This window comes from Homo sapiens, chromosome 7 (assembly GCF_000001405.40).
Source record: "Homo sapiens chromosome 7, GRCh38.p14 Primary Assembly".
Lineage (NCBI taxonomy): Eukaryota > Metazoa > Chordata > Mammalia > Primates > Hominidae > Homo > Homo sapiens.
The window spans coordinates 81,570,136-81,598,000 of record NC_000007.14 but is presented as its reverse complement, the minus strand read 5'-3'; the positions used below and the strand labels follow the sequence as shown (position 1 = coordinate 81,598,000).

General features: G+C 34.0%; 1 long non-coding RNA gene across 2 annotated transcripts in view; it reads left to right on the top strand.

Annotated features, from left to right (window-relative positions):
- Positions 1 to 21,615, top strand: part of LOC100128317 (uncharacterized) — a 115,021-nt gene extending 93,406 nt beyond the window's left edge. The window contains exons 5-11 of one of the 2 annotated variants that reach the window (NR_126025.1): positions 175 to 345; positions 3,345 to 3,480; positions 9,026 to 9,148; positions 13,561 to 13,706; positions 14,731 to 14,881; positions 16,097 to 16,279; positions 18,268 to 21,615. This is a non-coding gene — a long non-coding RNA (uncharacterized LOC100128317). Of the gene's footprint in view, positions 1 to 174; positions 346 to 3,344; positions 3,481 to 9,025; positions 9,149 to 11,017; positions 11,055 to 13,560; positions 13,707 to 14,730; positions 14,882 to 16,096; positions 16,280 to 18,267 lie in introns of both variants that reach the window. The other variant, NR_126026.1, reaches the window with a different exon arrangement.
- Positions 21,616 to 27,865: the final 6,250 nt, after the last annotated feature.

Here is a 27,865-nt window from a genome sequence, read left to right as displayed (position 1 = left end):
ACTAAAGATTCAGATGATGCTTGTTAATTGTGTGACTTTGGGTTGCCAACATAATCTCCAATTTAAGTTCTTTTTTAAGGAGTTAAAACCCGTAATGCCAAAATCTTTTAAGATATAAAAGTTATGTTTCTAAGTACTGATGGTAATTATAATTGTGGCTTATCTCTTTCATAGGTTCTGGTGTAATCACTGCTACCAAAATTTTTAATTATGAAACAGATCCAATAAGGTTTCTTCTGATTGTTGATACTGGGAGGCTCTATAGACATGTTTTGACCATTAATATTATTGATGTTCCCGAATCTCCAAACTGTACTGCTGATCCCAAATTTTCTTCAGGCACAGGTATGATGCGTTATCTTCCTATAGTTTACTTCTAAAAGCTATGTATAATGAAAGAGGCCAGGCATACTCCCTCAGTGAGAGATGATTCAGTGATTCTTTAAATTATGCATATAATGTGTGTTTATATAAATACACAAAAATATGTGCAGACCTTCATGTTTGTAAGAAAACATAATCTCTCTAAGGAATAATTTGAAAAACATGTTTACCCTATAAAAATTTTCATGCCACAATTATGAGGTAGGAGAGCAAATACATTAAAAACAGCAATAGAGATTCTACAAAAGACTTGCCGTAAGAGAAGCAAGGCAGGAGAGAAACAAAATGAATAAAAGGTTTTCATAACTTAATACACAAAGTTAAACCTTCACTTGTAAAAATGCTACAAAGAATAATTTAGTTTTAATACGCTTAAGGTTCAAATGGTATTTTAGTTTTCCAAAAAAGTAAGGATGATAGCCATCAATCAAAAATGCACAAAAATAAATGTGAATTTTAATTATAATATGATCATAGAAATAAGAGACATTTGTATTACAAAATCAAATACTGTGTAGGATTGTGGAACGGTTGACCAAGTCAGAGATATCAGAAAAGTTTTCTCTAAAGTTTTGGCAGTTTACTTTAGTTCTAAACTCTGATAATAGTAAATAAGCAAGAGGAGGGAGAATAGCATTTCATGCAGAAGGAACTATAAGTTCCCTGAGGCAGCATAGAACATGTTGACTAAGAATAATGGGAAGTCTAGTATAATTGAAATAGGGCACTAAGTAATATGGTACAAAATGATAATTGAAAAGTAATGAAGAGTATTTTAAGAATGTCAGTCTTGGTTCTAAGGGTAGTGGGAATGCTATGAAGTATTTTAAGCTGATAGATGTTTCAAATATATCCATCTTGTTGAGTATAGAGAAAGATGAGAAGGGGACAAAGTTAGTTTAGGTGTCAGCAAGCATTGTAAAAGGCCAGAAAGTAAATATTTTAGGCCTTGCAAGCCAAAAGATAAATTGAGTCTATTATTTAGGTAGTACTTATAAGCAAGGAAATAAATATCTACAATTTTTATTGATAAATTTTTAAAAGATAATAACAGTAACAATTGGGTATAATTTTGTACTACAGCTCTGCTAATGAGAGGAGTGAATTTTCATTTGGGAGGGGTTGGAGTTTCTCTTTATTGGATGGGACATTAAATACCATCAGCAAATCTCTTTCCTTACTTAGCTAACTAATGAACTGCTTAGAATCTTTTTTTACTGCAGTTTCATTGGTAATTATTTTTGTGAATAAAGTCTGTCTTCATGAAATATTTTATTTTAAATTTTCTACTTTTTCTGATCATTGTTTTTCTGTCAAGTGGGAATACTGGGATGAGTACTTAGTCTTTTTTTTCAGACATGTATTGTATTCTTTTATTAATATCAAAGTTATAATGTTATTACATAATAAAAACAGTTTTTGGACACATAACTTAAAAACAAAACAATCCACACTGCATCATGCCTTAAAAGTGTGTCATTCAGTTTATTTTTCTCTTCTTTTCTTGTTTTGCCATGGTGGGTAGATATGATAATTAAAAAGAATATGGTACTCAGAATGCTGTTATAACTGGATTATTGGAATTCATGGTATTTGAGGTGATGAGAACACCATATATTTCCATCACTCAACTCAGTAGCAAGAATGCAACAATATATGATCTATAAATAAATGAGTATATATGTCTTGTTAAAACTTTATAAATACTGAAATTTGAACTCTATATAAATTTCATGTGTCACAAAATATTAGACTTCTTTTGATTGTTTAAACTATTTTTAAACCATTTTTATTTAAAGTACAAAAACTATTCTTAGCTTACAGAGCATACAAAACCAGGCAATAGTCTAGATTTGGCTGAAGGGTGGTGGTTTGAAGACCCATAGAGTAGAAAAAAGAAGACGTTCATTTCAGTCATCTAGGCAAGGAATGGTATAGTTTGGCCTAGGAAGATGATAGAGATGAGAAAAGGATAATCTTAGGACATTTTAATAATATAGCTGGTGATGAATTTAGTAGAATGAAGGAGAGAAGGGACTGGGTTTTCTAATCTGTGTAACTGGTGTGGAAATCCTCAAGAAATATAGGAAAACTTAGAAATATACCAAATTTGGCCAGGCGCGGTGGCTCACACCTGTAATCCCAACACTTTGGGAGGCCAAGGCGGGTGGATCACGAGGTCACGAGTTCAAGACCAACCTGGCCAAGATGGTGAAACCTCATCTCTACTAAAAATACAAAAATTAGCCGGGCGTGGTGGCGGGCGCCTGTAATCCTAGCCACTTGGGAGGCTGATGCAGAGAATTGCTTGAACCCGGGAGGTGGAGGTTGCAGTGAACCGAGATGGTGCCACTGTACTCCAGCCTGGGTGACAGAGTGAGACTCCATCTCAAAAAAAAAAAAAAAAAAAAGAAAGAAATATACCAAATTTGGAGAGAAAAATCAAGAGTTCACTTTTGCAAAGGTCCTTTTTGATATGCCTTTGTTATATCAAAGGATAGATTTGTGTAAGCAGTTGGGCTTGGAGGTCTTACCCAGGGCTATTAATGTTTTGTAATTGAAACCATGGATTTGGATGAGATTACTTAACCCAAGAGTAGAGAATTAGAAGAAAGGAGGGCAGAGGGCCAACCCTGAGGAACTCCTACACTTAATGACGTGGGGAAGAAACTCAGCCTGCCAAGGAGACAAAGAAGGAGCTGCTAAAGTGGTGGTAGAAAAAGGGGAATTATGTCATGAATGGCAAAGGAGAATAGTGTTTCAAGAGTGCCAGTGGTTAGCAGTCTTATATTCCACAACAAGTAAAATGCATTGAGTTAACAATATCAGGAAAGTGACAACTAATGAGTTTGAGAACTATTTTATGGGTGTTATAGGGATGGGAGCCAGAATGGAGCAGATTGATTAGTGAGATTGTAAAAACAGAAAACATCTTTTTTTTTTTTAATTTGCACATAAAGTTGGAGAGAATGAAGAAACAAAATCATATGGGATTGCAAGAGTTGGGTCTGCTGGATTTCTTTTTAAAGGGAGACATGAGTAATTTTACAACATGGAGAATCCATTTGATGAGGAGGCTGAAGACAAATAAAGTAGGTGAGAAATGGGAACAAAGCACAGGTGCAATCAGTCAATCAATCATCTGTCAATCTTGTCTACCCATCTATGTATCTCCTAAACACTTACATGTCTCTATTTACAATTTCAATTTTTTATGTTTAATAAATTTGAAATGCCTTGAAGCTTTAAGATTTTTCTATTCAGATTTTACTTGCAGCTGAATCTCTGGAAAAGTACTAGTGAGTTGGGAGTCTCAATTTGAGTGTATGCTTAAAAGAAATTCTCTTTATCATTGCAGTTAAAATATATAATACTCTGAAAACATGCTCTGAAAGATCATGAATGTAAACTATCAATTTCTTTTGAAAATATAAATGAATAAAAACTTACCATTTTTAAATTTGGACCATACTAACAAAAACCAATTATTTCATTAAATGAGCCATATTAAGAACATTTTAAGTTGATTATAAAATAAACTAGGATTTTCATGAATACATCTCTATTACATTGTGCTCAAATGTTACATTTATCACCTTAAAAGCTACAGCAGGAACATTGATTACATTCAGAAATGTAATGTTTACTCCATTTTGTTGATATAAAGTCATTATTTATTAAATTTTCACTACTAAAGGCAGTGTTGTCTCATAACCATGTGCAGTTATTTTTCAAAACTAACATGGACGCATACACAGCCACTTTCACTAATGATATTGCCTATGAATATGAATAAGCAACTGAAATCTCTTCATGTTTTTTCTTACTCTCTTGGTCAAGGGGTTAGACTCCAGGTCATCTCTTCTGAGCTCTCCTGAATTCCTAGCCCCTTTCTTTTGTCAAACCTCAAGGGTCACTGAGGGCCCTTGAGTCTTATAACCACCTGCTTCTGCTTCCTGTTTTCCATTCCCACTGCTGACTCTGTCCAGTCAAAGAAAAGGTAAAAAATACACTCAAGGATGAGAGAATAGGGCAGTAGCTAGAGAGGACTGCAGATTATTAAGAAATTGTTAGTTAAGATTTGGAAAGCTGTAATAAGGACTTTGCCTGATCGGGGAACTTAATGGCTGTTTGAGAAACTTGCCAACTTTGATTTTCACAGGCAGTTTTTCCAAAGGTACTCAGAAGTTTAGGGGTGATTCCTATAGATGTGCAATTCTCCTTTTCTGCCAAGAGTAGAAGGAAGAGTCAACTGTGTAAATGTTGAAGAGAGGTTAAGTAAGGTGGACACTGAGTGTCCAGTGGGTCTGGCAGCATGGAAGACTTTGATGACTTGCTGGAAATAGCCTCTGTTTGTAGAGGCAGAACCTCTAATAGTGTGAACTAAGGACTGAACAGGGGGTAAAGAAATGTACAGACTCTGCCCCTGAAGGGTAAGAGAGAGATATGGACATTGTAAGGGTAAGCTTAGGGTCAAGGGTGTTTCTTTTAAAATGAAAGAGACTTGAGCATGTTTAAGTGCTAATAGAGAGTACCCAGAAAGTGAGGGAGTGACTGAAGATGGGAGGTAAAGAGACAAGTCCTTGAGAAAGTATAGGGTGTGTTACCACCCAATGAACAAGGATTATCTTTAGTAACAAGTTCTTGCCTTTTATAGTAAAGAAGGTACCAACAGAAGTGAGTTTGTAGATCCCATGAGAAAAAGTGAGCTACCACTGATCTAATGGTATCTGTTTTCTATGCAGTAAGATGAGAGATCCTCTATGAAGAGTGAGATAGAGGGGAAGGGTAGGTGTAAGAGGTTTTAGTCAAAAAGGCAAGGTTTGAAACAACTATTGTAGAAAGTTGAAGAGTAACAGAACAGAGACTTAATTAAGGGCACTGAGTTATTCTAATTATTCCTCTAATAATTCTCTTTGCAACCAATAGCTCAGGCCTATGTTTATGAAGTATCACAAAATCTGACATTTATCTAATTATTGGAAATTTTTTTAAATTTAAGTTCACTGTTCTGATTATTTGAGTCAAAATCTTTTCTAGATGTTTTTATACCTCTAATAGATGTTTTAGCTAATTCATTATTTTGTTTAAAATGCTTATTATCTTAAAATCAATTTTGTTATTATTTATTTGTCCTTAAGAAAAATATAAATTGGTGTATGATAAACTTGCTTTTATTCATTTATGTATCTGTCACAGTACTAAGCATGGATAATACTTTTAACATCATAGAATTTTCTGTTTTTGTGTGGTTTTTTTTGTTGTTTTTTTTTAAGACAGAATTTCACTCTTGGCGCAATCTCGGCTCACTGCAACCTCTACCTCCTGGGTTCAAGCAATTCTCCTGCCTCGGCCTCCCAAGTAGCTGAGATTACGGGTGTGTGCCACCACACCCAGCTAATTTTTGTATTTTTAGTAGAGACAGGGTTTTGCCGTGTTGGCCAGGCTGGTCTTGAACTTCTGAACTCAGGTGATCCGCCTGCCTCGGCTTCCCAAAGTTCTGGGATTACAGGTATGAGCCACCATGCCCAGCTTGTATTTTTACACTTTGAGTAGACTTACTCTTTCTGGAAATAATTTTACATCCCATCAATCTTAGGCTTGTTGTTAGCTTTCTCTTCTTCTCATACCTGTAGTTTTCTGGGCCATTCTTGACTTGCCACGAGGGCTCATGGTGGGATAGAAACGTGACATGTTAAAATTTACTTAAAGTTATGATGAAGTTTGGTCATATTCTGTCTTCAATTTATGCTGAGGGCATGGCTTTTGTCTAATATTATTTCTTCTTTTTTTCTGTATTGTTTTTGGAGAAAATACTGGGAGACATGGTTCTAGGTAACCACCATTATCTTTAGCTACTCAAAAATCACCTAGTCATTAACTTTAAATATAACTACATGTGAAAAAATTAAATTTAGTTGAGCAAGTTGTTAAAATTTATTTTTATAACAACATATACATTTGGTCTACACATTTCTGTATGTAAGAAATAAGAAATTTTAAAATGTCTTATTACTCCATATGGAACAATTTTACCCACTTCTTTCCTGAAGTCACTGCATCCATGTTATATTTTAGATTGAGCTTTTCACCCATGGTCAAGGCTGAGAAGATGTTAGGAGGTGTGTGAGAGCTGGATGTTAATCAGCTGTTCACACATGTGCTTTTGTAAGAAACAGAGTTCCTCCCCATTATGACCCAATCAGGTCTAGAAATTGTACAGAAATATTTTATGAAGCTACCACTCTGGCTTCCCATAGGACAGTTTGTCAGCATATGTATCATGTTCTTTTTCATTAAGCTATAGTTGCCTCAAATAGTGCCAGGAAGTAAGGAAAAGGCACTGGGTGAGGGCAGGAAGGATGATCCAAAGCCAGGGGGAAAAACACAAAAGTGAGAAAAAATAAATTACTATCTTAAAATATTAAAATATTGTCCCAGACTCAGAATCCAATCTGAAATTAATATTGTTCTGTTTTTATTATATAAAGAGATAGTGAATGCCTAGTATACTTTAATTTTCTGATACAACTTGATTTCTGCTTCACAGCTACCTTAGAAATTGATGAGGACTATCCATTATTTCAGTCCATTTATAGAGTGACGGCCACAGATGAGGTCTTCGCAAATGGTGATAGGCTGAATGTAGGTGGCGATCATTGTGCCAGGTGCATTTATCACTTCAACGTAAAGTGTAATCTTTTCAAAAAATTTTCAAGGACAGTTAATATAATTTGATAATTAAAGATTGTATGAAGTTTACAACCACCATGATGCAATATTCATGTTAATGTTGGAAATGGCATTTTTAGAAGAAGCTATTTTCTTGAGGCATACAGGAAAATTACATGACTTCTAATTGAGGTGGGGGACTGGGAGGAAGATGTCAATGCTGAGACAAAACTGGGGCTTTGCCTTTTGGAACTAATCAGAACTATTTCTCTTTCCTAGCTATTTCAATGACACATATGAATGTGATTATATATTTTTTGATGTTTCAGTATCCTAATTACTAAGTATTTAACCCTAAGAGACTCGCTTTTTCTCTTAATTGATTCATGGATGTGAAGTCTCTTAGAGATTTGGCAAAATGAAAAGAATCTATAAAGTTTGTTTTGGAGACTTTAGCAATGCAATGGACTACAAAAGTCAGCATGCTTGCTCTGCAGCTGTTCTTTCTGAACATGCATTGAAATAGTTTACTACTTCTAATGTAGTAACTCACAGTATAAAGTAATGGAGCACCACCAAATGGCGGTGGGGTTGTCAGATGACTTGGGCTACGTATGGCTTTACCACCAACTAGAGCTGTAATACTGGGGAAGTCACTTAATACCCCTGGTGTTTGATTTTCGCAATTATAAGAGATAATTTTTCCTTCCATTAACCTTCAGTGATACATGTGCCGTTGTCAAAGTATTTAAAATCCCTGTGGGATACTCCAAAAATATTTTGTTGTGGACGAGCCAAAATTAAATTGTTTAGAAACACAAGATCTTTCCCATTACATGATGTCTTTTCAATAAATTTTTTAAAACGCTGTGCTCCAGCTGACAGTAATTATTACCACTTCTGTCATTTTCAGAAACATAATAGGAACCAAACAGGTGATTGTTTTAAAATTCAGTGTTTTGAGAAATAGTTCTATTTTTAGAGCCTAGAAATCATATCAGATTACAAAGAAGCACACAGAAGTAATTAAACTTTTCCTCAGTGAAATTTTACCTCCTTCCAAACTAAATAGTTTTCAGATACTTTTGAGGCTATATTTACCTACTTTTACCTATTCTAAGAAGTGGTAGCAAATAAATAAAAAGGAATATTAAGAGCATAAGATAAATTATAAACTACATTAATATTTGAAATGGTAACACTTGAAACGGGTTTATACCATTATAATTCTTTTGTTTCTTAAAACTGATAATGAGTTTATTTTGTATACTTTTAATGATAATGATAGTGATAGTGAGTTTATTCTGTACACTCTTTCAGTGTTATATTAATTTGCAGAATTAAATTAATATTAAACAAATACTTAATAAAAGTTAAGCTTTTGGCTGGGCACGGTGGCTCACGCCTGTAATCCCAGCACTTTGGGAGGCCGAGGAGGGCGGATCACAAGGTCAGGAGATCGAGACCATCCTGGCCAACACGGTGAAACCCCGTCTCTACTAAAAATACAAAAAATTAGCTGGACGTCGTGGCGGGTGCCTGGAGTCCCATCTACTTGGGAGGCTGAGGCAGGAGAATGGCGTGAACCCGGGAGGTGGATCTTGCAGTGAGCTGAGATCACACCACTGCACTCCAGCCTGGGCGACAAAGCAAAACTCCATTTAAAAAAAAAAGAAAATTAAGCTTTTAAAAACTTATGTGAGAAAACTGTAAAGGGTTGTGCAGTTCTATTTAAAAAATAGCAAACATTTTGGTTATGTTCATAGGCTAAACAACCATATTGTTTTTCCTTTATTCTGAAAAAGATGATGTCAGTGGTTCTAATACTAGTAGATCATAAAGAAAAACTGAAATTAATCAGTGTGAAAATAGGGAACTTTCTATATATTTGCCCCAATATCATGTCTTAATGATCTTCCATGCGTTCTCATTTATTCAGTTTCGAGTAATGCATATTTTATTCTTCAAGTACACCATTGAGACACAGTTATCTGGACCAAAGAAAGGAGCAAACTCTTTTGGAACGGATCCTATAAGTGATGTTGTTAGATTAAGAGGTGAAGATCCCCTGGATTTGGATACTGGATATCATGTAATTAAAATGTTTATTTATTTTTCCATGCAGAGTGAAACAGAATTTTTATCACTTTGAGCTCTTCATGAAAAATTAGACACCTTGTTATTTTGAAGGAAGATTAATATTTTGTGTCATTCATTTCTGAGGATTTGTGCAGTTAACCAAAATCCTACATCCAATCATTATGGTTACTCCAAATATAGAGATTATGTCTTAACATTTTAGTTCTACCAAAAAAAGTTTATGAAAAAAATTGTCATTTTAATCTGGGAAAACCAAATCAGTAAATCATTAAAATTTAAATCTTTCTGAACATCAAAGAAATGAAAGAAACTTAAATCAGTCAAGTTTTCATATTGAAACTATTATGATTCATACACCCTACCCCACTTAGAGTGTTAACTCACTTAGGTAGCCAATGTAAGATTGGGCATAAACCTTATAGGTGAATTTGAAACTAACATGGTAAGAAAGAAGAACATTAGATGGTATTTACATGAGAAATATAATTTAAGGAAAGCATTCAGGGATGATTTTTCTGAGTGGAAAATGAAGGATATGTAAGTATGAACAACTGACTGGAAAGAAACCAGCTATTGGAGATAGTCTGTCCACATAGAAATGAAGTGTGTAGTTCGAGAAATAAAGGTTGGTATTATTATGATCGTAAAATAATGTTTTACAATATTGTAAAAAAATTTCTGTTTTCAGAAGTGTCTTCAAATTTATTATTTCAATAAGGTAATTGAGAAAATAGCAAGAAGGGGAAAATGCAAGAGATTGGAGTAAAAATAGAGAATTTGCTGCTGATAAGATAATTCGAGGGAAGAGTTAATATTTGAAGATACTAACTTTCTGGCCTGAAAGAACATAAATGGTGGAAGAAAGTCAATGAATTCCATTTAAATTTCAATTTGATGTGCTGTATGTTAGAGGATGGTGGAGAAGTCAATGATACATATCTTTTAAGCAGCTTGAGTATTAGGACTACAATATGAGATAGGTTAGCTGGAAGATAAATGGACATCATGCATGTAAACAGTTCAGCTCCGTATCTCTGACTCTTCCTGGGCCTCTTCACCTCCTGCCTTGACCGACATTCAACCTATCTTCTACCAAGTCCTTTAAGATCACTTTCATCTTTCCACTGAATAACTGATCAATTCATTATATGACATCTGACATGTAATTACTTATCCAAGGGACTGAAATTTGGTAGAATCATTGTCAGCCCTTTCCTCAGCATGGAGTCTTATACGCTGTAGAGTTTTATTGAATATCTGCTCAAAAAGGGTTTTTAGTGGATACTTACCGCCTCCATGGTGTTTGGTTTTTGTTTTTGTTTTCAAAAGGGCATTTCCTGATATGAGTAAATGGTTTCTAAGGGGTGAGATGAGTGACAGGCTGAGGAGAAGAATATTCAATGTTTGATGACATTCTCAATTCTTCAGAAATTCCTTGTGTCATGGATCCCAAAGAGTAGCCCATCTTCCTATTTCTAGGGTTTAACATCAATCAGCTTGCTTTGTCAGTAGTTTCAGTGCATCATATTTTGGTTTAAGATTAAATCTAGAATTTGTTCATTTGGGAGGGGTTTTGATTTTTTTCTGGATTGAGGTATATAGCCAAGCTACACAGACTTTTGTGTGAAATTTAATTCCATATGAAATGAAGCAACTTATAATGAATCTAACTAAGTAGGAAAGATAAGTAAATACAAATAAGAAAGCACTTGTATTTCTTTTAACTAATGAGAAGAAAAATAAGAAGCTATATTTAGGTGGAGAAAACAAAACAAAACAAAAACCTAACAGGATGCATATTGTGAAAGTATATATGTATTATAAAATAGTATTTTTAAAGTTTTAAAAAACTCTTTTCCAGGTTTTCCACCTTATACTGAAAGCAACAGATACAACAGGTCTGTTCTGTCAAGGGACACTAATTATCTTGATTAGAAACATAAATGATGAGAAGCCTCAATTTGAGTGAGCATATTTATTTCAAAGTGTATACATAGGAGAATGGTTAAAATAAACTTTTCACATATACAGTCGGCCCTTGGTATCTGTGGGGCATGCATTCCAGGACTCCCCTGAATACCAAAAGCTATGGATGCTCAAGAATCTTTTATAATGGTGTATTATTTTTTTCTTTTCATTTATTTATTTATTTATTTATTTGAGACAGATTCTCACTCTGTCGCCCAGGCTGGAGTGCAGTGACGCGATCTTGGCTCACTGCAACCTCCACCTCTTGGGTTCAAGCAATTGCCTCAGCCTCCCAAGTGGAGTAGCTGGGACTACAGGTGTGTGCCACCACACCAGGCTAATTTTTGTATTTTTAGTAGAGATGGGGTTTCACCATGTTGGCCAGGCTGGTCTCGAACTACTGACCTCAAATGTTCCAATCCGCCCACCTCGGCCTCCCAAAGTGCTGGGATTAGAGGTGTGAGCCACCACACCGGTAGTTTTATTTTCATATAACCTATGCACATCCTCTTGTATACTTTAAATCATCTCTGTATTACTTATAATACCTAATATAGTATAAATGCTATGTAAGTAGTTGTTATACCATATTTAGGGAATATTTTTGTCCCCCATGGTTGGTTAAGTCTATGAAAATAAAACCCATGGATACCAAGGATGACTGTGTTATAAATAATGATAATAAAGATTATGTAGCTACTCAGAATTTTTTTTTGATGTTGTTAAAATATATGACTATATATCAATGATTAAGGTATACACAGATAAAAAGTAAACTATGTATTAGAAAATACTGGAAAGCAAATTTAGAAGTTACCAACATTGTAATATGGTAAAAGATCTTGGTGTATCTTTTTTTTCCTTTGCTGAAGATTATTCATAGTTGCTACATTGCTTTTTTAATAATTACATTAATTTTAAATAAAGAGAAAGGTAGACCTTAAGCTTAAAGTATTTAATTTAAAATATTTTACTTTCATACTCTGGAGGTACAGTTGTAGCATTCAAAACTGTTTGCAGATAATGAACGCAATGAATGTTAGATGTTTTTCTATACTTCAAAATGTAGTAATGAAATGTATTACTACAATCTAAGAGGAATCAAATACTTCTTAGATTATGAAAGAGAAAAAGAAAAATAGTTTTCAAGTACTTTCCTTATATCACTAAGTTGTATCTCTACAGATGACTAAGGAGAGTAATTCATTGTTTGATTCCCCAAATTCATTTTAAGTTATATTATGTGAACAACTTAAGGTAATTTGGAGCTTAGTTTATCCTTTATTTGTAGGAATCACTTTCCTAACTGTGTTTGTAATAGAGTTGCCATCAACTTTTTGGAAAAATTTTCTGCTGCCTTCATGTCTTCAATAAGCATGAACTTATTGATTTTACTTTTTTGTAGAATTTAATGCTAGATATTATAAACAATGCAAAAATTATTGAAATATTGCCCTGAACTACCTTTTTCATCTCTCAAGTGATACTGCATGTTAAGTAACAATTAATTAAGAGAAAGATTTAATGTGGTCCAGAATATAAATATTATAATTTACATTGTATTATGGCACAAAGGAGAAAACACTTTGTAGAAGAGAAACCACATTAGATTACTGTGATCAAGAAAGTTTCCCAAGGGATGGCATCACTCACTTTTCCTTTGAATTTACATTCCTTTGAGGACTTCCTTGAACCTCTCTTCTATCCCCAGAATTAGTCTTCTCTCTTTTTAAAATTTGCAGCAAACTGACAGCATCTATTACCTAGTATTATAGCTGTTTATCCTTGTGTTTCCCAGTAGCAGTGAGATCTAAACAAGTACTAAGACTTAGTCATGTACATTAACTGGAGTGACACATGGTAGGTTATCAATAAATGTCTGATGCCTGAATGAAAGGCTGAATAAGAACTAAATGTAACTCTCAGAAATGTTTTGGAAATTGATCAAGGACTTTTCCGTACGACTTGAAGAGGTTAAGCAATATATTTATGAGAACTATCTGGAAACTTGCCCTAGTAAGTGATGACTTTGGACAGAATTTCATCATATCAGATAACAAGATGAAAACGAATATATTTAGTCCTTTATGTTCAGTTGCCAATTATTCCATAAATTGAATATCTGGAATAATGGAGGTGCACTGTTCCATTTTGTTTTTCATTTTCCATCTCTCTTATGTCATGTCTTTCACGTACATGGTGCTAGAGACTATGTGATTAAAAATTAGTGCTTTTGCAAAAAGTTAAATAACTTTGTGCCACAAATTGATTTGTTCAATATTTGAATAGCTTTGGGACTTGTTAAATTCTTGACAAGAGGAAGGTGATATTATAAATCCAAAAGATTATTTACAGCTTATCATAACTTGGCAATTATGTGTGTAAGAATTCTCAAATTTGTATCCTCAAAATTTTTTATCGCCATTTTTTCTTAAGGCCATTTCCTTTGGATTCTATTAATGTGACTGAGAAGAAATCTGTTGGAGAAATTATAGCAAGAGTAAAAGCAACAGATCGAGATGAAGATAGCAGTATCATTTATTCCTTTAAGACTCAGCAGAAAATGTTTTGTTTGGACCCCTGTAAGTTTTAAATAAATACTTTTAGCCTACTTTGGCTAAACATTCACTATCTAATCTCTGCACTTCCATTAGATCTTAGGCTGGTAAAACTGCCCTTTCAAAATTAAATGAAATCTGAAGAATAAAACATTCCCCAAACATGTGGTATTTGACAGTTGCTGCTTTCCTATTTCTGAAAATGACATTCTTGTGAAATAATGGGTGATGTAATACCTTGCTTTTATAACTGACTATCATTTTTCAGAGGCACTCAATACAAATGCTTCTGTGCATCCTTATAAATTATAGGATGAAATGTCATATCTATCTCAATTTGATTTGAGAAAATTGGGACTTTTCCAGAATGACTAGGTTTTGGATATTTATTATGAACAGATTTCTGCCTGTGTGAACAGGATTGCTGTTCTGAAATATTTCTCTCTTATGGGTTGTCACACTAGCTGGTTTTATCAATCAGGGTACAACCAGAGAAAAATAACCACTGAGAGTACATTGTAGGCTGGGCGCAGCGGGTCACACCTGTAATCCCAGCACTTTAGGAGGCCGAGCGGGTGGATCACGAGGTCAAGAGATCAAGACCATCCTGGCCAACGTGATGAAACCCCATCTCTACTGAAAATACAAAAATTAGCTGGGTGTGGTGGTGGGTGCCTGTAGTCCCAGCTACTTGGGAGGCTGAGACAGGAGAATCACTTGAACCCGGGAGGTGGAGGTTGCAGGGAGCCACGATTGCACCACTGCACTCCAGCCTGGGTTACAGAACGAGACTTCATCTCGTAGAAAAAAGAAAAAAAAAAAAAAGAGTACCCTGTAGCAGTGAGTTAAGTAGTCTCTGTAAGGCTTTGTGTCTGATGCTGAAGCTTTCACCCCTAAGGCAGGAAGTCAGGAAGAGAAGATGCATACAAAGTAGGGGAGGTTAAGGGTAGTCTGGAACACACAAGCATATGCTGGGCCCCATAAGAATCAACTGAAACCCATGTTAGTTCTTTGTGCTTCTGACCTTGCTTGTGTGGGTGTTCTGCAGAAGCTGAGCCTTTCATCACGTGGCTGAGTATACAGACCTGTTCTAAGAGTCAGAGAAGCTGAAAGAAGATCCAGCAGTAGGTCAAGCAATTTCAGATTTAGCTGAAGCTAGTTCACACCAACAGTAACACAGCAGATCAACAAAAACATGGGTAAGAAACAAAATGGCTGCTGCTACCCTTCTACCCTCCAAGTTGGCCAAGAATTTCCCTGTGTCTCACCAAACTGAAACACACACAAAATAGAATTCTGAGAAATACAGTTTGGCTTAGCAAATGTGGCACATTACAAAGCCATCATACTAATCATTCAATATTTGAGATAATTTATTTGAATCCTGAAAGTCGTTGGCAACTTATGCATTTAACTTCAAGATGCAAATATCAGTGGGAGAAGAAGTCCATTTAATAAATAATGATGTACTAGCAAGAGAAAATTTGGAAGAGATTCCACAAGGCCTTGTGGAAATTATGAAGACATTCAGGGTAGGGTCAAGGTAGAAGATTTTTGAACAAGAAAGGAGAAATTCTGGGAGGGAAGATAGGTGATGGTACCAGAAATAAAGAGTTCTGTTATTGCCATTTTTTTATAAGTTTGACATTTGAGCTCATTTTTCATTTTTGTACACAATAAGATTGAGTTAAGATAGAAGGCAGAAGCAATGAATGATTAAGATTTTAATATGGTTTGACTAATTTTTCAGGCTGAAAAACAGCATTTATTGTTGTAATTAAAGTAAAATATTCTGGTTTGTGTTTGATATTTTTTAAGTAGGGATGCTATCTATGCTTAGTAAATGAATGATAATTTAGAAACTTGAAAAATATGATGCAACCATTTTTAATATTTAATTATATTTACAATGTAACCATAAAGCAAACAGAAGCTTTTTTTGATTTTATTTTATTTTTTGAGATAGTCTTGCTCTGTCACTCAGGCTGGAGTGCAGTTGTGCGATCTCGGCTCACTGCAACCTCCGCCTCCGGGGTTCAAGCTATTCTCCTGCCTCAGCCTCCCAAGTAGCTGGGACTACAGGCAGGCGCCACCACGCCCAGCTAATTTTTGTATTTTTAATAGAGATAGGGTTTCACCATGCTGGCCAGGCTGGTCTCGAACTCCTGACCTCATGATCTGCCCGCCTCAGCCTCCCAAAGTGCTGGGATTACAGGCGTGAGCCACTGCACCCAGCAAACAGAAGCTTTTAAGAAAATATTTCCAATGGACATAGAATTGCGAAATATTGCTTTTCTCATGTATGAAAAAAGTATATTGTTAAGTGAATTAAAACATCATTAACATAAATAAGCTAACATAGGCTTGATTATCTTAGTTTGGTCATTTTTCTTCATTTTATTTCTTTTTATTAGTCACAGGAACAATCACTCTTCTTCAGCCTTTGAATCTTGACAACCCAAGTAACTCCAAAATCTACTCTTTGGAAACTGAGGCAACAGATAATGGGAATAATACCAGCAGCTATACGTTTACAGTTTTTGTGGAGAATGTAGATGATCCTATTTCCTGTGATCCAAGTTTTTCAACAGGAGCAGGTATAATACAAGTCAATTTTATTGATAAAATTCATGAGACAATAATAAAATTTAAAAATAAAACTGGAATTATAGTTTAAGCTTTCTAGTTTTATAAATGGGAAGTAAATAAAAGCAAATAAAGTGAGAGACATAGCATGTTCCTAAAAAGAAAAAAAATAAAGTTACTATAATTCAAATTTGAATTCAAATTATAGTTATTTCTGTGTGTGGCAGATAGGGTATTAGGAGTAATGACAAAATTATTCTGATTGTATCTGTAACATATGGATTGATATGTAGCCTCACAAGTTATCAAACACATACAAATCTAAACAATAAAATACAATTTTCACCTACTAAATTGGCCAAAATATTAAAATAATAGGAAAAAAATCAGCATTGGCTAGAGTATACAGAAATTATCACTTTCATAAAGTGGGATTTTAGAATAACCACCTAGAATACTATTTCATGAACAGTTATTTTAAAAATGATTATAATCTCTACCTGAGTATTTCTCCCTGAATTCATCTTTACAGAAATAATGGAGATATAATCAAGATTTATGTTCAAAGTTTGTAATAGTATAAGGTTTGAAATAACCAAAATGTCTAAGAATAGGAAATTGATTAAAAGACACTATGTCCATTTGATGAATTGCTATCTAACCATTAAAGATTATCTTCAAAAAATAATAAGCATGAAATGATACATGATACAAACTATAAACACATTTCCTTTAATTTGGTGTATACAATAATATATATACCACATATAAATAGATAATTATAAACACATATACCATTTGTATAGAATCATTTATTTTTGTATGATTATAATAAATTATTCTTTTCCAACATTTTAGTAAACCTGCTCCACTATTCATTTTTAATGTTTCTTAAATTAAAAATTCTAGCTGTATTTATATAAAATTTCAGCCTCTTAAGTGTCATCATTACTCCTAGTAGTATGTAGTTATTTCATCTGCTATTCTTGCCTCCAAAATACTTGCTTAAAATACATTTTCAGTTGTACAAACTATAATAGATTTAAAGTAATATATAGAGGTAGCTTTCAGTATGATTACAATAGGCATAGTCTTGAAAAGTTTGATAAATTAAGTTTTGTAAATGAAATTTTATTCTTTCACTTACCTCATGAAAGAAAGCATGCATCATCTATTGGAATCAGTATGTCTTTGTGGATAAAATGTTAAAATATGCTATTCTACTTTGTGTCAATCACAACCTCATATACTGTTCCCTAACCTCACTCTTAGGTGTATTTGTGTTTTTCATGAGGACCTAAAAACACAATCTTTAAAACATTTGAATATACTTGAGACTTTGCACATGATTGGATCTCAGAAAACATAGATTGGCTTGATTTAATTTTGGCTGGGTCCACTGGATCTCAACAATTATATTTGCTCTATTAGTTAGTCTTTTCATTTTTTTCTCTCCATTTATTTCTAACTTTACTTGCTCACCTACCATAAAGACTTTACTCCTTCTGCTTTCTTTGTTTTACTGCTTTTCTTTCTCTATTTCTATTAAGAGAAACTACCCAAATAACTGGGAGGCAATGAGATAAAAAAGAAGTTGAGGGCAAGTGGAACAAGGCAAACTTCATTAAAATAGTCTCTTTTTTGTTTTGTTTTTCCTGGATGCCTGTTCATTGCTGCTCTATTTCTTACCACCAGAATGATCTCTTCTCAATGTTCAGAAACATCACCTTTTTGGAAACCCAAAAGTTCCAAAACGCACAACACACAGATTTATTACTTTGAATCAGAACATATCTTCTGATATACATAATAATAAACATATCTAAAAATAGAAGTTTATATTAAAGAAATTTGTTCACAGAAATTAAATTTAACCAAGAAAAGTCTCCTAGGTGAGCCTTGGCAAGGTACCAACGAATGGGTTTGGTGTTTGTGAAGATATGATCTTTTGGACCACTTTGAAACAATTTAATTGATGTTCTTTGTAATTTCCTTTCAGTCTTCCAAAATTATAGTAAACTTTAAAAAGATACACGTGGATCTCAAGAAGGTCATTTTGACCCGATTTCTACTACAAGCTTGGCTGAACCAGCATAAACTGCTAGAGCAGTACCAAGATCGGGATGTCTTCCTCTTCCATCATCTGGGCTGTGGGCCTTGGGACATAAGAGAAGCGAGGACAAGAAGTCACTTTCTGTTTAAAGTAGGGCAACTCTGTGGGTCTCTGTGACCAAGAATTACCAAAGACATTGACATGATTTTCAAGCTGCTGATTTGACACACACATATTCAATTCATTTACTGGGTTTAATTATCCAGTTGCTATAATTAACCAGAACAAATCACTAAATTAGAGAATCTGCCTACACATGTTCAGTTTGAAACAAAGGTTCAAAATAAGCAAGTCCTAGTCGCACCAAAGTTGTTCTATAACATCCTTAGAAAGTCCTGTAAAGAGACCCTTACAGGACTACCCAGTCTAGATTGTGATACAATATTCACTGGATTTGATATCCAAGATTCAGCTGCACAGTAAACATTAAGCCTTTTTTCTTTTAAAAAAAAGTATTCGTAGAATCACATAACAGGTAAAGAAACTATCAGTAGTCTAAATGTGCATTTATGTTATTTGATTTTGGGATTACACAGAATCATAGTTGGTAGCATTGGAAGGAGGATGAGGGGCGATGGTTGGAAAAAGGCAAGTAGCATTTGTTGAGCATTTGAGAGATGTGTTATGTATAGTATTCTATTTAATCTCTAAAACTACTCTAAGATTGGAGAAGTACTTTATCCCCATTGTACAGGTGAGAATAGTGATGGAGCAGGAATTCAAGTGCATTTCTTCCTGTCTTCACAGGCTGTGCTCTACTTTTTTGTACATGATTGTGAAAGGAGACAAAAAGCTTCAATATCCTAATATAAAAGAATAAAAGTAGAAATCATATCTTAGTGGCCATTGACTTTGAGCAATTATATCCCATTCTATACAGTAGCCCAAAGTTTAAAGGTAGGAATATCAACCTGAATTATGATGGCTCTTTTAAATGTTGATGTTAATGGGAGTAAGTATTTGTAGGGGTTTTTTGTTTCTCTGAAACAAATATGAAGAAGATCATTTTAAGGAAAATACAGCATGGTAATTTACGGTACCAGCATGAAGCAAGAAGTGAAAGAAAGACATTTGAATTTAAATTATTGTTCATGATTGTGTAATTGTATAGGTGTTTCAGTGTCTGTTCCTGAAAACATTCCTGCATCTACTTTTATATATATGATTCTTTCAAGAGATCCAGATCTAGGACAGGAAGTTGAAGTAAGTTTTTTTATTTTCATCTATTTATTTTTGCCCAACTTGGATGAGAAAAAAAACCCAAAAGAGTGCTCAATTTTTAATGCACAAAATATTATTTTGCCAGGCTGTTAATTAAAGTATTCTTTATGTGTATGGTAGTCACTGAAGTGAGAGAGGAGACTTAAACCTTTGGGACTAGTAACATAGAATTAAAATGCTCTGGCTTCAAAATGAAAGAAACAGATTTCAAATGGTCTGAAAGCATTGTGAAAAACTAGAGCTTACATCTATTGGCATTTATCTGATGACATTTACGAGCATGAATAGAATGTTCTTTCATTGTTCATTGCCTTTTATTCATCCCAATCAGGCATATTTTCTTTATTATACATACAATGTGAGTAAAGGATATTTTAGGCCTTCATATTAATTCTGGTTTTAGCAATAATTCATAAAGAGGAGAGAATAAATTTTAGGTGACAAAATGGTTACAGCTTAAGTGGGGGTAAAGAAGAAATTTAAGATAATTCATCACTGTGTATTTTCTCAGAAATTTTTCTGGTATACATATGACCTTTAATCTAATTATATTTGTAAGAAAAAAATTGTTTTCTTGATGATGCAATATATCATAAATCTGATTAATACACTGGAATACTCTGCCCGAAATTTAGTGAGTCAAATTCTCCATAGAAGAGACTAACTTTTTTTTCTGTTTGTTCATGCTTGCTATAAAGATACACATAAATATCACTTGGGAATATGGTTGAAACTAAAGTTTGGGAGAAAGCTCTGTGGAGAATTTAGTCTATATGTAATTTTTCTGGTTACCTGATTATAATGAGATATTGATTAATCCACTTGATTACATTTTTTGCTCATGTGAATTTCAGACTGAGGACAGATTACAACACAGGAACAATGTAATTCCTGGCATATCAGGTTCAGCTCATCTATTTGTGTGAATGTGTTAGTGTGTGTGTTGGGAGGATAGAGTTAGGATATTGGGGTACGTGGGTGTGTGCATTTAAACTAGAATATGTCCATATGTGTGAAGGATGGGTGTCTACAAAAGTATCCATTATAATTATGTGCTTACATGCATAGTTTCCATTACCAAAAATTAATGTAATATCTAGATTTTATTGTAAAAGTCATTAGGAAAGAGAAAACAAACATTTGGAAAATGATGATGTTTAACAAATCTAAAACCATAATAATGGGGGAAAACAAAGAGATTATTTTCATAAGGACATTTAAGAGGATTTTAGTCTAATATAAGCCAACTTTTGTTGTTCACTTACAGGCAAATGAAAGATGGTTAATATGACCATCAAAATGGCTATTATGCATTCTTTGGAAATGGCATTGGGTATCAGATCTTCCAGGTTTTATTGCAGGGTTTTTTTGAGCTGGAATCTGGATGTGAGTGTTTATAATATAATTTCTTTATGAAATCCTTTTCAAAATCTTTAATATTTGTCTTGATAACAATGGAGAGAAACATGCCGATGCCCATAAAAATAATAGCTTTGTCCAAGGCAATATTTTATTTTTGCCATGCAGAAAATCAATTCAGAGATGGAATCAAACGGCTTCTTCCAAATAATTCAGTTCATGTGCCTCCTTTAGATATACTTCCTGAGTATTCAAGAGGGAACAGCTTTTTTTTAATATTGGAAAAATCTGTAAATGCAACACTAGAAAGTAAACTAATTATGAAATTATTGAAAGCTATTCACCAAAAATGCTCTAATATTTTAGTATAAAATGCATTGGAAAAAAATACAACTAAAACGTGAAAGAATATATAGATTATTTTTGAAGTCTGGAACTGAAAGTAAGTTCAGATTTTAATTTATAGGCAGTCTTCGCAAAATTTATTTTGGTTTACATCTTGCCAAATCGTTGCATCAAAGCTGTCAGTTCAGAATTCATGCTTACTCAATAATGTATTAACCATGTTTGTGTGTGTATGTGTGTGTTGCAGTTTTTAATATTAAATTCTTCAATTAATGCCACTGCCTACTTTGCTTTGGATTCGCATAATGGTGTTATTTCTAAAACCACTGAACCTCTTTTGGACTATGAAACAAATCCTAAGGTGAGACTAATTATAAAACTGAATATAAAACAATGAATACCTTTAAATACCCTTCAATAAAATAATTTTTAAAAACATATCTAAGTTGAAATAAAAAGTTATCAAATTTATGTAATTGCATTTTCATATTCACTGAGATCAAGCAGAAATTCATTTTAAAAGAAAATAAATTTAGACGCTTATGTGATTCATTATGTGTACTTTTTCATTAGACCTTAGTTAAATATTATTTCAATCATTGTGTGTGTTTCTGTGGCTGTATATAAAAGTTGGAGAAGGGATTGTCTTCATATTCAACAGCATGGAACAGAGGCAATGTTCTGGGTAATTAAATAAAAGTACACTTCTTTAGTCTTGAATTATCTAAAAAAGTGCCTCTCTCTTTGGCTTTATGTGATTGTGGAGACCTGGTGTGGCCTTTTTCCCCTGCAATGTCCTGATCAAATTTGAAATTTGCAAATAATTGGAAAGAAGGGTGAGGTATAAGGAGATGAAAACACATAACAAATCATTTTTTCCTACCAAATCATCCTGGAAAATGAGACTATTTAAATTTCAAATGTTTTCCAGTTTCTTTAAGCAATTCTCAACATTTCCAGTAGTAGACTTATCAGGCTGTCTGTTGTTGTTGATGTTGTTGTGTTTTGTTGTTGTGTTTGTTTGTTTTAACATCATCTTAACTAAAACATGACTTTCTAAACTGCAAATGTTTTGGCCAGAACTTATCCATAGTGAGATAACACCACTATGTGAGAGTTGAAGAAAAAAAAAAGCAACAACTATTTTTCCAGGACATTTGGCTAGTTGCTTATAATAATACTTTCCACCCTGGTATTATAGGATCATTTCTCCTATAGTCAACTTTGCTGTTTTCCATTCACTCCTAAACAAATTGCCTTTGTTCGTTTTCTTTGTTCTCTCATACAAAGTTCAGGATTAACTTTATTGAGAAAGTACATATTGCCATTTTGATTTTATTTACTTATTTTAATTAATTTATTTATTTTGAGATGGAGTTTCACTCTTGTTGCCCAGGCTGGAGTGCAATGGGGCAATCTCTGCTTACTGCAACCTCTGCCTCCCAGGTTCAAGTGATTCTCCTGCCTCACCCTCCCGAGTTACTGGGATTACAGGCACCTGCCACCAGGCTTGGCTAATTCTGTAGAGACAGGGTTTCGCCATGTTGGTCAGGCTGGTCTTGAACTCCTGACCACAGGTGATCCACCCAACTTGGCCTTCCAAAGTGCTGGGATTACAGGCATCAGCCACCGTGCCTGGCCGAAATTAAATATTTTAAGCACTTAAAAAAAACCCCACATTATAGCTTCTCTTATTTATTTCAGCATTTCCATTTAGTGATTGCTGTGAGAAATAGGCAAAACCTGTCTTTGGAGTTATGCATTAGCACCATCAGTATCAACGTCCAGAATGTCAATGATAAGAGTCCTGTTCTTACGTAAGCAATGAGTAATCTAAATATTTAAATGATAAGATTAAGCCACAGAAATTTTTCTCATAGCAGGATAAAGACCAGTGTTTGGCTATTGTTTCCACTGTTAATTTTTTAAAAATATTTTAAGTGATCTAGAAAGTAAACCTTGATGAGTTGTATTTTATTGCTCTTTTTACATGCACTGGAAGCCAACTCATTTATATTTCAGCCTTGAAACTACAGAAGAGAACCAATATTTTTTTGATGGAATAATCCAAAGCTTCATATTTTTCTGGTATTTATTTTTAATAATGAAAATATTCTAGAAAATGTACATTGATATGTTCATATTGCAAAGTCAATGTAGGTATTTAAGAGAATTTGGGCAAAAAACACTTGCTGATATGGACATATGACCAAACACAAAAATAATGAAAATCATTGCAAAAACGTCTGTAGTATTTTGTAATGTGGAATAAAGTAGCATTTACCAATCAGCAGAAAGACTTGAAAAAAGGATACAGGTAAAAGAAAATTTAAGTTCATTTTATAAAATGTGAACATTCTCTAATAGATTTAATAATGTACAATGAAAAAACATTAAGAAGGCCAGACTTGAAACTGTTACACAATACATATTATATGAAATGTAAAATATTTGCTGTGTGACATAAATGAAAAAATACATTTGTTTATACTGACTGATAAAAAAAAATCATTTTGTCCCACAGATATATACCAGATGCACCTATGAATATTTATGAAAATCTGTCTGTTGGAACAAAGTTGGTCAGGTTGACAGCAACTGATAGAGACATAAGGCACTCGGTACATTATGAACTTATAGGGACACAAAAATAATTTTCTATAAATGAAGGTACAATAATATTTTTATTGTGAATGATTTTATAAAATATATTCAACAGTGTTTTTTACTAGTGAAAAATAAACCTGATTATCATTCTATTAAGATGAAACCATCTTTAAAATATTTAGCAGCATATTTAGCATATTTTCATGAGGTAGAAATGATTATTTCTTCCTTCTCAGAAGTATGGAAATGGTCTGTATAATCTGGTTGCTCCAGGAGGCTCCCAAACAATTCGAACTCACAATAGCATTCCCTGGGATTTTATTGTATGATTTTTTTTTCTCTGAGAAGTAAATTTTCCTATGGAAACCAGAGCAGTAGTAAACATAAATTGAATATTTATTATATATCACATATATAATAACTTTGCATACATAATAACCCCTTTGGGTTTTTACTCTCCTAATTCTCACATAACATATGATGCCTGGAAAATATTTTAATTTATCCAAGCTCATGCAGCTGATTTCTGTGGCAGAACCAGCACTTGAATTCAATCTGCTGGATTTTGACATTTGTAACTCTACCTACCTTCCACATGGCCAAAAGTTTGGAGTTTCTAACCCTAAAGACATAAATATAAAACAACAAGAAGAAGAAAAGAAAGATGTCTTCTCTTTTTAAGAGGTGATGTACATTTTCACACATGAAAAGAGCTGGGTTAAACCCAAACCATCTATCATATCAGCCAAAAGATCTCCTGGTAGAGAGCCAGAATCTGAGAAGGAGAAGGAAGATGACTTGTGGAGAGAAGGTTCGGTATGGCAAGTCAGAAGTTAAGGGGAGAGAGAGAGAGAGATACAAAGACAGAGAGAAGGGTGCCAGAACTGGCAGTGAGAAGGGGATGGTAGGAGAGATGGGAGATTAATTACATACCAGGGGATTGATAAAAAGCTAAAGATAAATGAAGGATGGTTTCTCCTGTCAGAGATGTGAGTAACAATTGTGGAAAATGAGAAAACTGTAATGAACCATGTGGGGATACATTAAAATTGAAGGCATCAGAATGAACTTCTATTTTTCCATATATATATATGGAAAAAATATATATATATTTGTACATGTATATCTATGTATATGTGCATGTGTGTGTAGTTAACAAACATTGATGTAATTGTATGTGTACAAATATGCAGAGACACAGAAACATAAATACATACATTTTGTGTCCCTACTTAAAGAGTGAAAGAACTTAGGAGCATAATATCAGAATAGCCATGAGAACAGCTATTACTCAGACAATGAGTTCTAAATACCATTTTTCCCTATAGAAGCTCTTTAGAGGAATGGCTCTTTTTGAGGCCACAGTAGTTAAAGTGTAAAACGAGCAAGAACGCAAGAACATGCTTGAAGAATGATGAAGGTATGTCAAAAACAAAAATGCCAGAAATCAGCTTCAATTGTTCCCCTTTCCAATTCTAGAGCAATCTGAACATCAAAATAAATAATACAGATTATAAATCATAAAATGAGAGTCCATGAGTCCATTAGATATAAATACAAAGATAAATGGACAGTTTGATGAAAAACAAGATGCTTATGTAGTTTCAAAGTATCTCTTTTCAAATTATTGTTATTATTATTATTATTATTATTATTATGAGACAGAGTCTCACTGTGTCACCCAGGCTGGAGTGTGGTGGCGTGTTCTCAGCTCACTGCAACCTCTGGCTCCCAGGTTCAAGTGATTCTCCTACTTCAGCCTCCCAAGTAGCTGGGACTACAGGCGCCCACCACCACACCCAGCTAATTTTTTTTTTATTATTATTTTTAGTAGTGACAGGATTTCACCATGTTGGCCAGGCTAGTCTTGAACTCCTGACCTTGTGATCCACCCGCATTGGCCTCCCAAAGTGCTGGGATTACAGGTGTGAGCCACTGCACCCAGCCTACAAAATACTTGTTATTTGCAAAGGGCGAAGTAGCAACTTTGGAGTATGGAAAACTGGCAGATACTCACTGAGTCAAGTAATTAAAATGGACTTCATCAGTAGTGAGACAAACTGATTACATTCAATAAGGATACAATATAATTTCTATGATATTTAATCAAAAGCTACATAACCTGAATCTCATTGTGAGCTCACATTAGGCAAACCCAGCTTGAGAGATGTTCTCCAAAATTACTAGTCTGTAATCTTCAAAAAGTTCAAAGTCATGAAACTCAAGGGAAGACTGAAGATCTTTCCCATATTGAAGGAGACTAAAGACACATGACAACACGTGATTCTGAACTGGATCTTTTGCTATAAAATATATTGAGACAATTACTGAAATTTAAGTGGAGGTCTTGGTGTTAGATGTATTGATGTTAACTTTCCGATTTTGATGAACCATGGCTGTTTCGAGAATACCCTGCTATTAGGAAATGTATGTTGAGGCAACAAGTCAGCTACTTACTCTCAAATTGTTCTGAGAAAGAAAAAAAAGCTCTTCCATCAACTTTAAAAAAATTAATAATTATACTAAAATAGAAATGAAAGAGAAAATGAGAGCTATAGAAGATAGGCAGAGAAGAGCCAACGCCTTAAGTCATGTTCTAAAAATTCCTGAAGAAGCAAACAAAAGGCAAAGGAATACAACAAATGCTCAGAGGTATCATCCAAAAAAAATTCCTAAAATAAAAGATTTGAAAAGGCAAACTAGGTTCTTGGAAAAACTAATCCATAATGGCTGAATCTGAGCCAGATTTTAATAAACTATTAGATGTTAATTTTTTAGAAAAGTATTTGGGCCTTTAGGCAAAAAGAGTAGGTCACCTACAAGGGAATAATATTAATACATTGTTAACAGACTTTTCTATAAATCCTTTCTGTAAGTTAACGGAGTAACAATTTAGGAAACTTGAGGACACAAAATGTGATTTAACAAATTTACATTCAACAAAATGACCTCATATATAAAAGGCAGCATATAAAAATTTGAGAACATGGGAAACAATATCTCCTATTAGTTCTTCCTGATGCATCCGCTAGAGAATGCACTCTAGACAACCAAAATACCTAGAAACTAAGAACGCAGGAAATGAGAATGACCATCAATTATATTTTTACCTGTAGATTAAAAATCAAGGTTATAAAGGAGAGAGCACCTTTCACATAAGGGTTACGTGCTCTGCAAATATAGATGGGATAAAATTATTTAAAAAGGAATTCCCAATGAAAACATTGTCAGTTTTTCTTTTTGTTGATTTCTGTTGTTTTTCTCTTTGCCTACTGTCACCCACTCCACCTACACCCTCTTCAACATCCCCACCTCACCTCAGTCGTCTCTGCCTGGATTTCCTGTACTCATTTTTCAACACCCAGCCTAGCCTGCACTCTGTGCTCCCCACTCCACCCACCATGACCCTCCCATGAAATATTTTCTGAAATATGCAGTTAAGAAGACTTCTCTCTTTCCCGGTCACTTACCCAACCACCATTCCTTACAGATACACAGTTGTGACTAGCGTGTGAGTTTCATCAGATCAATGACTGACCTTTATTTTATCCTTAGAACTATTTTATCCATGCCACTATTTTTAATTTATAACTTATTCATTTTATGAGTAAAGAAAAAATTTGCATCTGCCTGCCTTTTAGGTTCAGGAGAGGTCACACTTGCCTATCCTTTGGATTATGAAGACATAGGCACACCAAAGTCTTGGGTATTATATTTTAGAGCTTATGACAATGAGCGAATACATTCAACAACTGGGACAGTCAGTATTTCTACAAGATGTAAATAACAATCCACCTCAATGCTCGCAGGATATTTACATGTAAGTTATGATACTAATTGTTTGGTCTTCAGATTTTGGCACAGAGAGAAGCAGGAGAAAAATAAATGGATAAGCATCGTACCATCCCTGGAATGAAGCCAAAGCCTTTCATTCTTTCCTTTATTTTCAGAC